This window comes from Homo sapiens, chromosome X (assembly GCF_000001405.40).
Source record: "Homo sapiens chromosome X, GRCh38.p14 Primary Assembly".
Lineage (NCBI taxonomy): Eukaryota > Metazoa > Chordata > Mammalia > Primates > Hominidae > Homo > Homo sapiens.
The window spans coordinates 57117027-57133216 of NC_000023.11; the positions used below are offsets into that span (position 1 = coordinate 57117027).

General features: G+C 40.3%; 2 protein-coding genes across 13 annotated transcripts in view, besides 2 other annotated features; one reads left to right on the forward strand and one right to left on the reverse strand.

Moving 5' to 3' along the window:
* Nucleotides 268–1467: an enhancer, noted in NCBI's record as "MED14-independent group 3 enhancer chrX:57143727-57144926 (GRCh37/hg19 assembly coordinates)". NCBI's record gives its function as "activates an origin of replication core promoter dependent on BRD2, BRD4, P300/CBP and CDK7 cofactors, and independent of MED14, by STARR-seq in HCT116 cells {active_cell/tissue: HCT116}" and the evidence as "EXISTENCE:reporter gene assay evidence [ECO:0000049][PMID:35650434]".
* SPIN2B (spindlin family member 2B) lies at nt 2656–4522 on the reverse strand. Of its 12 annotated transcripts, none has more exons than XM_047442139.1 (3): nt 4425–4522; nt 3379–3605; nt 2656–3075 (listed from the first exon to the last, which is right to left on the reverse strand). In XM_047442139.1, exons 2-3 carry the CDS (start codon nt 3601–3603, stop codon nt 2827–2829), a joined length of 474 nt encoding a protein of 157 aa, XP_047298095.1. In that variant the 5' UTR covers nt 3604–3605; nt 4425–4522; the 3' UTR covers nt 2656–2826. The 12 variants fall into 12 exon arrangements, with proteins under 12 accessions (XP_047298095.1, NP_001269391.1, NP_001269390.1 ...); NM_001282462.2 differs by having other exon boundaries at nt 4267–4522; NM_001282461.2 differs by having other exon boundaries at nt 4212–4522.
* The window catches only part of FAAH2 (fatty acid amide hydrolase 2), a 367606-nt gene continuing 355980 nt past the window's right edge, over nt 4565–16190 (forward strand). The window contains exons 1-2 of the mRNA XM_011530767.4: nt 4565–4941; nt 9859–10032. The gene's annotated coding sequence lies outside the window, so the exon portion shown is untranslated. The remainder of the gene's footprint in view (nt 4942–9858; nt 10033–16190) is intronic.
* Nucleotides 4690–4809: a silencer, noted in NCBI's record as "silent region_20870". NCBI's record gives its function as "represses an Ori minimal core promoter by ATAC-STARR-seq in GM12878 lymphoblastoid cells {active_cell/tissue: GM12878}" and the evidence as "EXISTENCE:reporter gene assay evidence [ECO:0000049][PMID:35858748]".

The following is a 16190-nucleotide window of genomic DNA, read 5'->3' on the forward strand; positions in this document are numbered from 1 at the left end:
TTGTATGCCCTCCACTATAAATACATGGATGGCTCTGCATCACACTCAATGTAAAAGCCAAATTGCATTTTGAAACCTACAGGGCTATAAGCTGTCTGCCTCTCTCCCTCATCCCCATTACATCTCTGAAACCACCTCCTGCTTTTCTCTGCCTTGTTCACTCAGCTCCAGACATGATAACATCCTCCTTGCTCCTCAAACATGCCAGGCCTAAACCTGTCTTGGGGCCTCAGCACGTGCTGTCCCTCCATCTGGAATGCTCCTTCCCCAGACAGCTACAGGGTCAGTTCTCCCATTGCCTTCAGGTGAGACTCAAAAGCCAAGTTCTCAGTGAGGCCTTCCCTGGATACCTTGTCTATCTAGTTTCAGCTTCCCTCCTGAAATTTTCTATCCCAATTCCTTGCTTTATGTTTTTCTATTTAACACTAGACACTATGAAAATACATTATAATTGCTTACTTATTTTGGCTACTGTCTGTCCCCCACACTAAAATGAAACCTCCATGAGGATAAGAATTTTAGTTTGCTTTTTTGTTCATTATTACATTATCAGTATCTGTGCCTAGAAGAGTGCCTGGCAGAGAGCCCACCTGAAGTAAGTATTTGTGGGGTAAAGATAAAACAAGTAAATTAAAAAGCAAATGGGATCAAAGCAAGTCAAAGGGGCAGTTTTTCCAGGGTGTGGCCCCAGTTACAAGTGCAAACGCTTCCAGGGAACGACTGTGCATTTTATTAGAGTAAAGCAGGCCAGCTGGGGGTGTGGCCAACTGGAGAGGGTATTCGGAGTCTAAACTGGACTGAGACCTACCTAAGGCCCAGCTGCATGTATCCTTTTTGGAATGAGGGCCCTGATCCTCACATTTTTGTTGTTGTTGTCATTCTGTTTCAATTTCAGGAGATGCCAGAGACATAAATTTTCATCGTGTGAAATCTCTCAAATGTCTAAAGTACCTAATTAAAAATAGAAAACAATAAAAACACAAAGATGAAAATAACCTGGCAGCTGTCTGAGACTGGTTCCTGGGCACCTTGCTGGATTTTGTTGGACGAAATTGTGTGATGTACACAAGAAAATTAATCCTTGCTACGGTGAGGTAGGCTTGCCTTGTGTAATTCTTGAGGCAGTCAGCCTCAGGCCATGTTGGGTGGAGAGAATAAACTCTATTTACCACCTTCTTTCAACTCCTGGAAGCTCCTTGCATCTCCCACTATGCATGGAGTTAGGGTAACCTGGGCAGCAGGGAGTCACCAGCACTCTTTCTTGGGGTCAGAGGTATAATTTAGTGAACGGTGTGGTTGCAGAAAGCAGTGAGAGGGTTTTCAGATGGGCTACAGGAGAAAGACTTGGGAAAGGCAAGGAGGGGAGGAAGAGAAAGACACAGATCTATCTTTGCATCAGACACCATAGTTCTGAGGGACTTTTTGTGGGTTGCTGCTCCCTCTCCCCACCAGCCTTGACCCTTTTTTGTGACATTATACAGCTGAATGAGTTAGTTATACCAAGTCACAACTCCCAGCCCAACTGCCCCATGGCATCTGCCTCACCTGGAAACAAAGAGCTGACCAGAATTCCATCACAGGTCTCTGTGAGCTGGGGTAGGCAAGACTGGCCAACAGGTGCCTGTGAGGGGTCTGCAGACACCAGCTTTGTGGGGAAGGTCTAACCAGAATGTGGATTCTTGGGACAGCAGGCCTCTTTTAGTGGATTATTTGTCGGAACCACCTGTGGTTTCAGGCAGCTGCTGAAAGAAGTGTGGACAGTCAGGAACTCCCCATAACCTGGAGAGAAACACTAGGCTCAATCTTCTGATGCCCCTCGTCTCTAGATAGAAAACAAACATTCCAGCAGAAGGAACCGGTGTGATGAGACTGCTGTACCTGAGTTCAGTAAGGTTCCATTTTTTTCTGGGTAAAGTACTTTCCAAATGCAAGATGGCACATCTCTTAAGTTCTGACCCACTAACCCATCCTCTACCAATATTGTTTATCTAGCGCAGGACAAATGTGAGGAGGCAGCCCGCAGCCCAGCACATGTGGGGAACCGTGTTAGTGTGTTCAGGCTGAGGGTTGGGGTTCTGCTGGGTAGGAGCGTCCTGAACTCCCTGAAACAGGAAAAGCCTTACGGGTATAAACTTTCCTCCTGATTAACCTTACTGAGTCATCCTTGTCAGAATGCCCTTCTAGGGAACCTCCAATGTATCTGGCATCTTTGACAGATGCCACTTCCTTTGTGCATAGAGCCAGGAAGAGCAATGTGGACACTACCAGAAGTCCAACATTTTCCTGGGCCTTCCGATCTCTCATGGGCCCCACACCCCACAACTCTTTTCCTGTATTCCCAATCCCTCTGTCAGTCTTTCTTCTTTGAACTCCTTCTTCCTCAGTGGCCCTCTTCTTCTAACCTCTCTAACACTCTAACCCACATAGCCTCTTCCATTGAGTATCCTTTATCCTCTCCACAGACCCTGTCAGGTTGATCCTTCTCCTCTTTACTCTGGACCTCTTCTAAGGTTCTTTGTGTTCCTCTCTACTCAATTTATTCTGTGTATTTTCCTCTAAGCCACAAGCTCTCTGATAGCTGTTCCTTCTTTTCATGCCCCATTCACCAAACACACCCGATCTTTTCAACAAGACAAAGGGCTTACACACAGCATGTCATGTACACACAAGTTTGTATTTTTTAGAGCAAAACAACAGTTAATGCTGGCAAAGATGTTTAGTTATCAGGGATTCCATAAGCTTTCAATACACTGAAAGGCAACATTTTTTGCATGTCTACAAATTATACATTTGTTTCCACACATGTGCCAAATTTTACCCTAACAGTTAGGACTTTTTCACCAAATCGTAGACATAGATATGGAAATCATCATCAAACTTGATGAAATACACAGAGGGTTTGGCTTCCACTTGGTGAATGACCATGCCGATCCTTTTGGAGCCATCTTCTTTGGTATATTCCACATGCTTACCTATTAGGCCATCTACAACTCCTCCTGGCTCCCTCTCTGTTGGAGGAGACTCACTGGATTCTGGCATGATGCGGAGGTCACCTTCCTTATAATCATCTAGAAGCTGGTACATGTACAAGACAGGATCTTTCTCATAGGTAATATAAAACCAGGCTTTCATGATAGGTGCTTGAGCTAAGACCATCCCCCTCCATTCATCCTTAGAACCATGCTCTCCCTCAAACATATGTTCCACTGCTTTGCCAATTATGGTATTTGCAAGGTTGGCATCACTAATGTGAGATGATGCCACCCTGTCAGAAAGAATTTTAAGAGACAAAACCCTTTCATCTCTGTGAAGTTCCAGTCCATAGACACAGTCAATTCCATCATATTTCACCAGATAAAGAGAGGGATTTATAGGCACCTGATCCAGAACGGTTCCTTTCCACTGCGTGATGGGCTCATCTCCTTCCTTCCATCCATGAGAAATTCTGCAGCCCACGATGTTCCTGCGGGGCTGGGATGAAGGTCGGCCTCTCTGCTTCTTTTGGGAGACTTTTTTCTTTGTCATGTTTGCAGACCCAGTGGCCCGTCCTGCAGCTGCCCTGGTTTGTTGCCCTTCGGCTTCCTGTGCGTTGGGGGTCTTCATGCCTGCTGGGGGAGGAGAGAGGATAGAGAGACACACCCAGTGTGCCACAAGGCAAACTTTTCCCTATAGCCATGTCTGGATGTAGTCTGCGCTAGTGCCTAAGTTTCCCCTAGGAGCCTGGAAGCAATGCTGGAAATCCTGGCTGCATGCCCGCAGTGCTCTCCCTCTTAAGTTCCTTTGGGCTGTGGGGAAGGGCTGGGGTGGTGCAGTAGAGCTGTCTGGGGTTAGGAACTCTGCAGAAGTGGCTGGGCCACCTCCTCCTAGCTCAGAGCCCACTGCCCTCCCGGAACCCCTTGCTACCACTGGCGTCCACTTCCAATCCCCTTGCAAAGAGGCCTTGACCGGCACCCACTGCCCTCCTTCCCTGAGCGTCCCAGCTGCTGTCCACAACACCCCCTGCCTACCCTAACCACTTCTCTGGTACCCACCGCCCTTGCTTCCCGGCGCTCACCTTCAAATCCTTGTCTGGCTCCCGTTCCTACCCCCTTTTCATGTTGCTCACCGCACTCCCCCACCCCACCCTTGCCTGGCGCCCAACTCCACCCCATGTCTCCTGCTGGATTCCTTCCCATCCCCCTCTCCATTCTGGCGCCCACTAATGGCCTTGCCCTGCCTGGCGTCCACCGCCGGGGATCGCGGGCCTCACGTGCCCAAATCGGACACCTCGCTGCTGCCTCCGCTACGAGCCTGTGGCGAAGGAGGGTCAGCAGGCGACCGGCCGAGTGAATGCTTGCAAGAGCGGGGAGGGTAGGATCCGTAGATGAGGAGCGTGTCTAGGAGGGCGGCGAGACAGGCAAAGAGGAAGGCAGCGGCGTCCCCACCGCTTGGCTCGCTAGCCCTCCGCCTCCCTGCTGGCGGTGGCGGCCCCTCAGCCACATCGGGATTCCACCAGTCCCTGCTGTCGCCGCGGCAGTCTCCTCCCTCTTTCCGTAGCGCAGCTTCCTGCCCAGAGAGAGGCCTCCTCTTCCTGTCAAACACCCGGCTCTCCTCTCCACCAGGCTCCCACGCCCACCACACAGCCTGTAGCCCCGGCGGAGCTATGGGCTCTGACTCCGCCTCTTTCCAAATCCGGAGTAGTTCGTGCCACAGTCGTCCTCGGAACCCTGTGGCCCCTTCCTCACCCGTTTCAGGGCCACTTGGTTCCCACCTCCACCTTCTTAGTCTGCCTGCCCTGCTTTCCATCTTCTTGGAATTCGCCTTGCTGCCGCCCCGCGCCCACCCCCGCGCCCACCCCTGCCCCTGCACCGTCCCATGCCCTTATGGATTTATTCTTTACACGTAAATATGTCTTTCCTCTTTTTGAAAGGATTTGGAGTTGGAACAGAGAAATTCACTATGGTAAGTCTGCCATTTTGACCCAGTCTCTACCTAATTTTTGCTGACTGATATTTCCTGGCATTTTTGTTTTTGTTTTCGAGGGATTTTTTTTTCCTTTTCTTTATTGCAAGATAATTGCATGTACAACGTGAACACTATCTACATTTTAGGAAATTAATATTAAGAGGAAAATCATCAACTGCAGTCCCATCTCCCATTTTTGAGGGCCTCACAGCAAAATATTAATGCTCATAGTTTTTTTTCCTTTTTCCTAAACTTTTGCAAAACTGGGATTTGTTTTTTATCTGCAATTCATGTCTATTAATTTTTCCAGGAAATTAGATGTTTTCTAATCGATTTTTTCATTCAACAAATATTTATTGAGCACCTGTTACATATCTTGCACTTGGTCCGTAAAACTCAATTTTAAAGTGATTTATAATTTGGCTTTTCTCCCAGTACTGGGCATTTGACATAATATTTCCACAATAACCAGTAATCAGATCTATGTATCGGAATAGAAAGCTTTGCAAAAAAATAACTTTATAAGAAATAATTAAAGTTATAGTTTTATAAATCAGTGGAGAAACGTTGGGTATTCTTTAAGGAATGTTGAAATAATTATTTAAATATTTTGAGAAAGGTTGTATACTAATGTTGTACCAGTATCAATATTTGATTTATTAAAAGGTAAAAAGCAGCAAAATAAAATTGAACAGAAAGCAAATGAACCAACCAAAAACTCTGTAAACAAAACAATGCTTAATGGTATCTTTCTTATTCAGATACTTATGGTATTTGAATGAGGGGATGAGTCGGATGTTAACAGAACAACTACACTTAATAAAATAACATCTACAAGGAAAAATAGAAGTAATAATAATCTCGATTCAACAGTCAAAGTATGAAAGAACATTAAAATATTACTTAATGTCATTGATCATGAAAAAGCTTCATATCTAGTGCTGATGCAAGTGAAAGTTTATACAATTTTTATGGAAAGCAATTTGCAGATATGTCATAGTTTCAGTGAGGGCTTTTTATTTTATTTTCATTTTTATTTTTTTAAATTATATTTTAAGTTCTAGGGTACATGTGCACAATGTGCAGGTTAGTTACATGTGTATACGTGTGCCATGTTGGTGTGCTGCACCCATTAACTCCTCATTTACATTAGGTATATCTCCTAATGCTATCCCTCTCCCCTACCCCCACCTCACAAGAGGCCCCATTGTGTGATGTTCCCCTTCCTGTGTCCATGTGTTCTCATTGTTCAATTCCCACCTATGAGTGAGAACATGCGGTGTTTGGTTTTTTGTCCTTGCGATAGTTTGCTGAGAATGATGGTTTCCAGCTTCATCCATGTCCCTACAAAGGACACGGACTCATCATTTTTTATGGCTGCATAGTATTCCATGGTGTATATGTGCCACATTTTCTTAATCCAGTCTATCATTGTTGGACATTTGGGTTGGTTCCAAGTCTTTGCTATTTTGAATAGTGCCGCAATAAACGTATGTGTGCATGTGTCTTTATAGCAGCATGACTTATAATCCTTTGGGTATATACCCAGTAATGGGATGGCTCGGTCAAATGGTATTTCTAATTCTAGAACCCTGAGGAATCGCCACGCTGACTTCCACAATGGTTCAACTAGTTTACAGTCCCACCAACAGTGTAAAAGTGTTCCTATTTCTCTACATCCTCTCCAGCACCTGTTGTTTCCTTACTTTTTAATGATCGCCATTCTAACAGGTGTGAGATGGTATCTCATTGTGGTTTTGATTTGCATTTCTCTGATGGCCAGTGATGAAGAGCATTTATTCATGTGTCTGTTGGCTGCATAAATGTCTTCTTTTGAGAAGTGTCTGTTCATATCCTTTGCCCACTTTTTGATGGGGTTGTTTGTTTTTTTCTTGTAAATTTGTTTGAGTTCATTGTAGATTCTGGATATTAGCCCTTTGTCAGGTGAGTAGATTGCAAAAACTTTCTCCCATTCTGTAGGTTGCCTGTTCACTCTGATGGTAGTTTCTTTTGCTGTGCAGAAGCTCTTTAGTTTAATTAGATCCCATTTGTCAATTTTGGCTTTTGTTGCCATTGCTTTTGGTGTTTTAGACATGAAGTCCTTTCCCATGCCTATGTCCTGAATGATATTGCCTAGGTTTTCTTCTAGGGTTTTTATGGTTTTAGGTCTAACGTTTAAGTCTTTAATCCATCTTGAATTAATTTTTGTATAAGGTGTAAGGAAGGGATCCAGTTTCAGCTTTCTACATATGGCTAGCCAGTTTTCCCAGCACCGTTTATTAAATAGGGAATCCTTTCCCCATTTCTTGTTTTTGTCAGGTTTGTCAAAGATCAGATAGTTGTAGATGTGTGGTGTTATTTCTGAGGGCTCTGTTCTGTTCCATTGGTCTATATCTCTGTTTTGGTACCAGTACCATGCTGTTTTGGTTAGTGTAGCCTTGTAGTATAGTTTGAAGTCAGGTAGCGTGATGCCTCCAGCTTTGTTCTTTTGGCTTAGGTTTGACTTGGCAATGCAGGCTCTTTTTTTGTTTCATATGAACTTTAAAGCAGTTTTTTCCAATTCTGTGAAGAATGTCATTGGTAGCTTAATGGGGAACGCATTGAATCTATAAATTACCTTGGGCAGTATGGCCATTTTCACGATATTGATTCTTCCTACCCATGAGCATGGAATGTTCTTCCATTTGTTTGTATCCTCTTTTATTTCCTTGTGCAGTGGTTTGTAGTTCTCCTTGAAGAGGCCCTTCACATCCCTTGTAAGTTGGATTCCTAGGTATTTTATTCTCTTTGAAGCAGTTGTGAATGAGAGTTCACTCATGATTTGGCTCCCTGTTTGTCTGTTATTGATGTATAAGAATGCTTGTGATTTTTGCACATTGATTTTGTATCCTGAGACTTGGCTGAAGTTGCTTATCAGCTTAAAGAGATTTTGGGCTGAGATGATGGGGTTTTCTAGATATACAATCATGTCATCTGCAAACAGGCATAATTTGACTTCCTCTTTTCCTAATTGAATACACTTCATTTCTTTCTCCTTCCTGATTGCCCTGGCCAGAACTTCCAACACTATGTTGAATAGAAGTGGTGAGAGAGGGCATCCCTGTCTTGTGCCAGTTTTCAACGGGAATGCTTCCAGTTTTTGCCCATTCAGTATGATATTGGCTGTGGGTTTGTCATAAATAGCTCTTATTATTTTGAGACACGTCCCATCAATACCTAATTTATTGAGAGTTTTTAGCACGAAGTGCTGTTGAATTTTGTCAGAGGCTTTTTCTGCATCTGTTGAGATAATCATGTGGTTTTTGTCTTCGGTTCTGTTTATGTGCTGGATTACGTGTATTGATTTGCATATGTTGAACCAGCCTTGCGTCCCAGGGATGAAGCTCAGTGAGGGCTTTTTTAAAGCTGTGGTTAACTGTTACTCCTAAGATTTCAACCCTGGAATTTCAATGAAAAGTAAGGGGTTGGGGGGTTACCAAGGTTCTGAACTCCAGATTCTGTATTCATGTATTTAACAAGCAGTCACAAGTTCTGCTGAGCATCAAAGTCTTTCAGTGGTTCCCTCTAGAATGGGTAAACTTTGCCAGTAGAAAAACATCCACCAAATGCCCTGTTTGCCTCTTGGACCTGTTCTCCTCCTATCTCAGCTAGGTAATTATTTCGTATTTCTCAGCTTTTAGATGCCATTGAGAGTGGATTTTCTTTTTTACTATATTTGTTCAGATTTAGTTAATTTGTTCAGATTTCAGGGAAAGTTGTTTTGAATTGTTTAGTCTCCTATTACTGAAATCTCAAACCCTATTTTTTATTATAAAATGCATGTGTTCATCATTAGGTTGTATACATTAAATAGGTACAGCTTTGTGTATGTAAATCATACCTCAGTAGTGGTTTGAAAAAGAAAAAAATGTGTTTAACTATTTGTAATGACTTCAAACTACAAAACACCTACATTTCCATCAGCAGTATATTGTATATGTTGGGGTATATTCATACATTGGAATATCATGCAGTAGTGAGAATGTTCAAGCTACAACTACATGCAAAAACATAAATGAATCTCTGAAATATGTTTAAAAAAGAGGCCAGACAACAAAGGGGCACACATTATTCTATTCAATTTATTTGAAGTTCAAAAACAATCATTAACTAATCTGTTGTCTAAAAAGTTAAGGTAGCAGTTATTCTTGCAAAGATATTTTCCAAATAGACAACAATTCATACTCTATCAGTAGTTGGCCAAAGTAAAAATTAGAGAGATCTTTGGACATGTATGTATGGCTAGAAAGGTTTATATAGATGCTGAGCTGCAAAATATATTTAACTGTAATAGACATCAATTGATACTGCAGCCTAGCATCTTATCACCATTCTTCTGGTAATAGTGCCACAGTTTTCCTCTTGGGAACAACATAAGCCTGACTTTTCAGAGTATGGAATTACTGTTACAATGATTAGTTTAGGAATAAGCATTCAACCTAGTCAGAGCCAATGAGACTCAAACTGCTATGCATGAGGCATTTTCCGTTGGAGGAGAGTGAACCTGAAAGGATATGAGGATTAAGCTGCTGTATTCAGCTTACTATCATCAATAGACTGAGAATGAAGGCACCCCAAAGAAGAGAATGGAGCCAGGCTATGCAAAAAGAGGGAGACTGTCCTAGTGACACATTTTGTACATGTAGGTGGTCATGGCCACTGACTGACTTTTGAATATTCATCTCACTTTAAAAGGTTAGTCTAAGCTAGTCATGGTGATGCCATTCTTCCTGCAAGTGATTGATTTGGCACTGGGCATGTGATCTAATCCTGGTCAATTAAGCATCATAGTATGTCTGCTGGAAGACTTCTGAAAAAAAAATCTTTACTCTTAAGAAAGAGAAGCAGGAAATAATGTTACCTTTTCTTTTTTAGGATGATGCTATATCTTTATATGACCTTTGGAATATCTGTAATCATCCTGAGGGCAATACTTATGTAATGAAGATGGAAGAAGAGAGAATATGAATACTCCGTGCACTTTGATCTTATCGTTTAGCTGCTGATCATACCATCCCTGGAGTCCTACTTCTGACTCCAAGTTATGAGGTAACAAATTTCTTTATAGTTAAAGCAATTTGATTCTGGGTTTTCTGTTACTTGCAGTTGAAGGCATCTTAAATGGCTTAGCGTTCCCAGACTTAAATGATATAGTATCCCTAGACAATACCGTTATACTTTTAAGTTATATGAAACAATACATTCTCAGGCACTCATTCATACAACCAGCTCCCATATCAGGAAATGGGACCTTACTTCCAGACTTAAAAAATCCAGTATTCAGTTGCAGATAAGGAATAAGGAGCTATCTAAAAAACAAGCATGAGGTAAAAAGGCATCATTCTAATTTGCACTATAAGAAAAAATATACCAGGATTAGCAAATAACTCCCTAAATAAATGCTGTCAGCAAAGTGATGAGCCTCTTATATTTTCCTCATAGGAAGAGGTAGGCTTCCGGACTCCAGTCTCTCCACCTCACATCTATTTTCCATATACTTTAGATTTCTTTGTCTTAAGGAGGTGATCCTGATATTCAATCTTATGAGAATAAAAAATAACATTCTAATCACTTATTTTTTAAATGTCATGCATTAATATTAGTTAAGACCATCTTTCAAAATTACCAAAAATTAGTATGGTTTACTGCAATCTTTATGACAATGAAAAGATCTATAATGAATGAAATAGACCTTTCTCTATCTCATTTCCTTTTTCTCCTTGCCACCTCTCAGGATGTCCCAGTGTTCTCACGTTCCACCTTCAATCACACTTAACCAATGTTAAATCCCTGGTATGTATTCTTCCAAACCATTTTCTATGTTATTACAACAATATATAAATATAAACGTAAATATAGGAATTTGGAAGTCCTTCTCACTTTTTAACGTAAGTGGGATCATACTCTTTACATTTGTGTGCAATGACACATCTATATATATTTCTAAAACATCTTCTTTATAATTGTATAATATTTCAAATGATACATAAACACAATGTATTCAAAAGTTCTGGTATTGATAGACATTCAAGATTTTCCCCCAGCTATTTTTGCTATTTCAAACAATGCTGTGATAACAAGTGAATGCAATCCAATTGTGACATTTCTCATTCCATCTATTTTGAGGGTTGATGGTGCCTATTTTGCTGATGAGGTAGGTATCTTTGTCTTTTCTCAATGTTGCCATATTCTTCCTTCTTAACGTTACCCGTGCTGATGTAAAAGAACCTTTCCAGATAAAGAAGACTCTCTTTTATTTAAGAATATATATGTGCTTTGTCTGGCCTTCCCCCAGTATTCATAAATTTTTAGCAATCTTCCAAGAAGTTATTGAATCAAAAAGAAAAATTTAAAAAATTAACAACAGAGAACCTGAGAAATGATAGCAATGAGGACACAACATATTAAAATGTGCCAGTTACAGCCAGCACTCTATTCAAAGACAAATGTATAGTAATGACTATTTCCCTTAAAAATTAGCTAGAAATTATCATCATAGATAGTCATGGAAACTTAAAGGAAATAACTAAAATATGCAGAGACTGATGAAGTGAAATAACAGAAAATTAGTAGACTATATAGCAAAACCTATGTCTAAGTTTTGTGAAAAAATAAAACAATAGGAAAGAAAACTGGCAATACAGGAAAAAGGACCAACAAATGCAAAGGGGATTTATAATAGGTTATTTGAAAATATAAAATTGTCATGCAATAATTCACTTACTAAACAAGTATTTATAGAGTGTCTCCTATGTTCCAGACCCTTTCCTAGCACTACAATACTAGAATGAATTAGATAGACAAGATTCCTGCATTCAAAGTTTATATTCTAGTGGAGTAAGACAGAAAATAAAGAAACCATCTAAAAGACAAGTTCACATAGTGATAAGTACTGCAGAGCAAGAAAAACCAAGGTTATGGGGTAGAAGGAGAGAATCTCTGAACAGGTGATATTTGAGTTAAGACCTGAATATGAGAAGCAACCAGTTATGAAAAGTTATGAAAAGCTCTGGGAGTAAGAAATAACTCTAGCATAAAGACTTTGAAGTGGAAACAAGCTTCTTGCCTTTGAGAATAGAAAAATGTTAGTATGGCTGTAATATATAGTGAAAACAGAGACCATATTTGAATCAGAAAAGAGTGAGATCAGATAGAGCACTGCTTCTTCATTCTTATTTCATTATTGTCCCCTCCCCACTAGATGACTTTATAAGGATTTTTTTCTTTTTCCTAATTGTCCCCTCATGAAATTTGAATACCAATGATGTACTGTATGATCTAGTCAATAAATGCATGTATATCTGTACTTTATACATAATCAACCTGTATGCAGGATGAAGTATGAATAAAATTTGAAGGTAGTAGTTAAATTAAAAATTAGAAAGCTAGCAATATCTAACTTAACTGTATAACTGTATTTGCTAAGTGACTTTTAATGGAATTTATGTACTTACATAAATTATAATGAGTCAACTTATGTATGCAAATTGGCAATTTATGTAAATACATAATAGTAATGTAATCACATTTAAAAAATTATTCACAACATTTTTCTAGCAAAGGTGAAACAATGGAAAACATTAAATTAATTTCTTCAAAGTTATTTTTGTGAATTTAACTTTTCACTTTTCCTTCATATGACAAAATCAGTTGTAACTAGCAGCTAGATATTCATACATTATCATTTTTTCTTTTTAGTACTTGACATAAATAATGATGGGTTAAATAACTTCTGTAAAGTTAAATATTAACTACTTTTATTTAATTTTCAAAGCCCAAGTCACACACAAGACACCGAGGATCAAACATAGTCAGTCAGTGGCAGCCAGTAGGTACACAAAGGCCACTTCTTGACATATGACTTCAAGAATGAGCAATAGATTGAAAAGTCCTACAATCAAAGTCATCTATTTGCTATGATTTTGTAGTGCTGGTCTTGCATACATTTCATGTATCTTCCATGAGCTCAATGGCAATGCTTCTGTAATATCCAAGAAAACAAGAGTGATTTAAGTTCTAAAGTATAAGATTTTATCAAATACAGTTGAGCTTTGGAGGACACAAATCATTGTAAAACTTCATATCATTCCACCTCTCACACCAACAATCATATTTCCCCCTTTTGGGGGCAATATCATCCTGTTTGAGAATGCATGATCTAGCGCATGCAGAATAAGGCATGAAGATTGTTTTGTATATCATCTGCAATAAGAAGCCTTTGGAACATTCTAAGCAGGAGGGCGGCATTATCTGGTTTACATTTTTAAAAGATAGTTCGGGCTATTGTATGGAGAGTTGAAAGGCAGGTGAGAAGATTTTAGTTTCCAACAGTCAAATTTATTGAACTTAAGGCCTTATCTTCTTTTTAAAATCCTTTAGTTACTGAAACAGCACCCCTCTCCTTCCATGTTGCCAAAGCATCAGGTTATGTGCTTACTACTGTTGTTTGCAGTTCTCTCTTAATTGTTGATCCCTGTGGACTTCCCTCACACTATTAAAAGCTCAGCTATACATTTAAAAGGAGGTCTGTCATATTTTATTCAACATTTTAAAGTTTAGTGATTTTTAGTTAAAGAGTTTTCATGTGCCCACTGTTTAGTGTCTTTTAAACTAGTGGTTTTACTTAGCCACTCCTGTGGTCAATCAGTGGTATAGTTTACTTCCTTCAAGACAGAGGCAAGAAGATTTTAGGGGAGTCAGTGGAATCATGCTCTCACTTTGTGAGGCCCCTCTTTAATATGTGCTATTACTTATTTAAACAAGCGAGCTCAGCAGCTCATAGTTTATCTCAGATGCCTCCAAAATTGATTTTTAAAAGGACATTAAAGCCACACTGAAAATATCTAACCTCTAACTACAATACATTGCAAATTATTCTCAGGTATATTGTACAACATATTAACTGCATAAAATTAAAAAATTCCATTTTGTTTCTATGAAGTACTGTGTATAGCATTTGCCAAATAGCACCCTAATTCCCCTGGCTGCATATCTCTCAAAGACTTTTCTAATTGGTGAGTGTGAGAGGAGTTGGACATGTGAAAAACCGTTTATCTCTTGGGCCTATTTCTTTTTTTTTTTTTTTTTGAGACGGAGTCTCGCTCTGTCGCCCAGGCCGGACTGCGGACTGCAGTGGCGCAATCTCGGCTCACTGCAAGCTCCGCTTCCCGGGTTCACGCCATTCTCCTGCCTCAGCCTCCCGAGTAGCTGGGACTACAGGCGCCCGCCACCGCGCCCGGCTAATTTTTTGTATTTTTAGTAGAGACGGGGTTTCACCTTGTTAGCCAGGATGGTCTCGATCTCCTGACCTCATGATCCACCCGCCTCGGCCTCCCAAAGTGCTGGGATTACAGGCGTGAGCCACCGCGCCCGGCCGGGTCTATTTCTTTTGGACAGAATAGGCACTCTAATTCATTCTCAAACACAGGATAAGCTTTATGGCCGTACCAGAGATGTCCATAGTTATCCAGTTATGCTTGTGTTTGGGTGAAATATTAGGAAGTCCTTGAAGCCCCCTATCTAGCCATGTCCTCCAGTTCAGCTTTTATTAAATACAAAGGGGATATTTTGACTTCCAGTTGTGTCATTATGGTGCTGTTCTCTCAAATGGTTACAAACTTGCAAAGAGTAAAGAAGACTTTTCATTCTTAGTCCTCTGAGCCATTAACTGTAACATAACTGTAAAGTTATCTTGAGATGTGGTACAATTTCAATCTGAAAGAGAAAGCAAAAATATTACAGATATGCTTGAACCAATCATTACTTACCAAAAATAAATATAGGAAATGAGTTATTAGGGAATGTACTGTAATCTCTGAGAGGAAAAAAAAACTTTTGAATTCCACAGTGTCAACTTCTATGTCCAGTAGTGACCTAAGGAAAAGAGTTGGAGGATTCTGACCATATCTCTTTAACTGTGATGAGTGCACAGACCAAGACTGATCAATTGTGTGAGTGTGATCCCATCACTGATCATTAATATGAAACTCTCTTACATTTTAACTCATGTATCCTCAGGACCAATAATATCACATGGGCTTGGGGAACAGGAAATGGGACGTGATATACGTAATGAATTTTGAACAAATCTACTGCAGTATAAACATCTGTCCTTTATCCAAACAGAATACAGGTTTAAACTCTGTCTGAATACTAAGAACTTTTGAACAGCCATACATTAAATTTTTCACTAACGGTTTTAAATCAGTGACAAACTCCCTTTGGGGTACCTGTTGGCCCATTGCCAAAATAACATATCAGTGGTTTCCGATATAATGGCTATGAGAGTTATCCAGAGCGGGGAGGCCGATAACAACCATTTATCAGTGAATTTCTGGGTCAGTTTCTCATTTTCTAGAGATCACTTCATTAATATTCTATACCCAATCTAGGCGTTGAGTATAGAGCCCAACTCTGTCATCTATGGTTTTCACTGGGAATTGTTTTCTCTTAAGAAAATCTTCAAAGGAAGACCAGAAAACGTGGTGTAGTCCTTGACTCATATTTATCTTCCACTGCACAGCGTTATCAAATAGGAAAACATGCAGCGTGTACCTGAAAACAGCCAGATCCAACTAATTTTCACCACGTCTACTACCACCAGGATGGTGAAATCACCACCATTATCTGTTACTTACATAATTGGAATAGCCTACTAATTATTCTCCCTTTATTCATCATATACGAATAAAAACTATTCTCCAAGTTGTCAGAGTGATCCTGTAAAACTAAGACAAACCTTGTCTCCCCTCCATTATTAATACGTGGATGGCTTTCCATCACATACAGTGTAAAAGCCAAATTGCATTTTGAAACCTACAGGGCTATAAGCTGCCTCTCCCTCATCCCCATTACCTCTCTGAAACCACCTTTTGCTTTTCTCTGCCTTGTTCACTCAGCTCCAGTCATGATAACATCCTCCTTGCTCCTCAAACATGCCAGGCCTAAACCTGTCTTGGGGCCTCAGCACATGCTGTCCCTCCATCTGGAATGCTCCTTCCCCAGACAGCTACAGGGTCAGTTCTCCCATTGCCTTCAGGTGAGACTCAAAAGCCAAGTTCTCAGTGAGGCCTTCCCTGGATACCTTGTCTATCTAGTTTCAGCTTCCCTCCTGAAATTTTCTATCCCAATTCCTTGCTTTATGTTTTTCTATTTAACACTAGACACTATGAAAATACATTATAATTGCTTATTTATTTTGGCTACTG

Coding starts and splice junctions, on each gene's coding strand:
- SPIN2B (XM_005262008.6), bottom strand. CDS start 4,187: ATGGAGAGGGGGATGGGAAGGAATCCAGCAGGAGACATGGGGTGGAGT. Junction 3,609..4,054: donor AGCCAGACAAGGATTTGAAG/GTGAGCGCCGGG, acceptor CTCCTCCCCCAG/CAGGCATGAAGACCCCCAAC.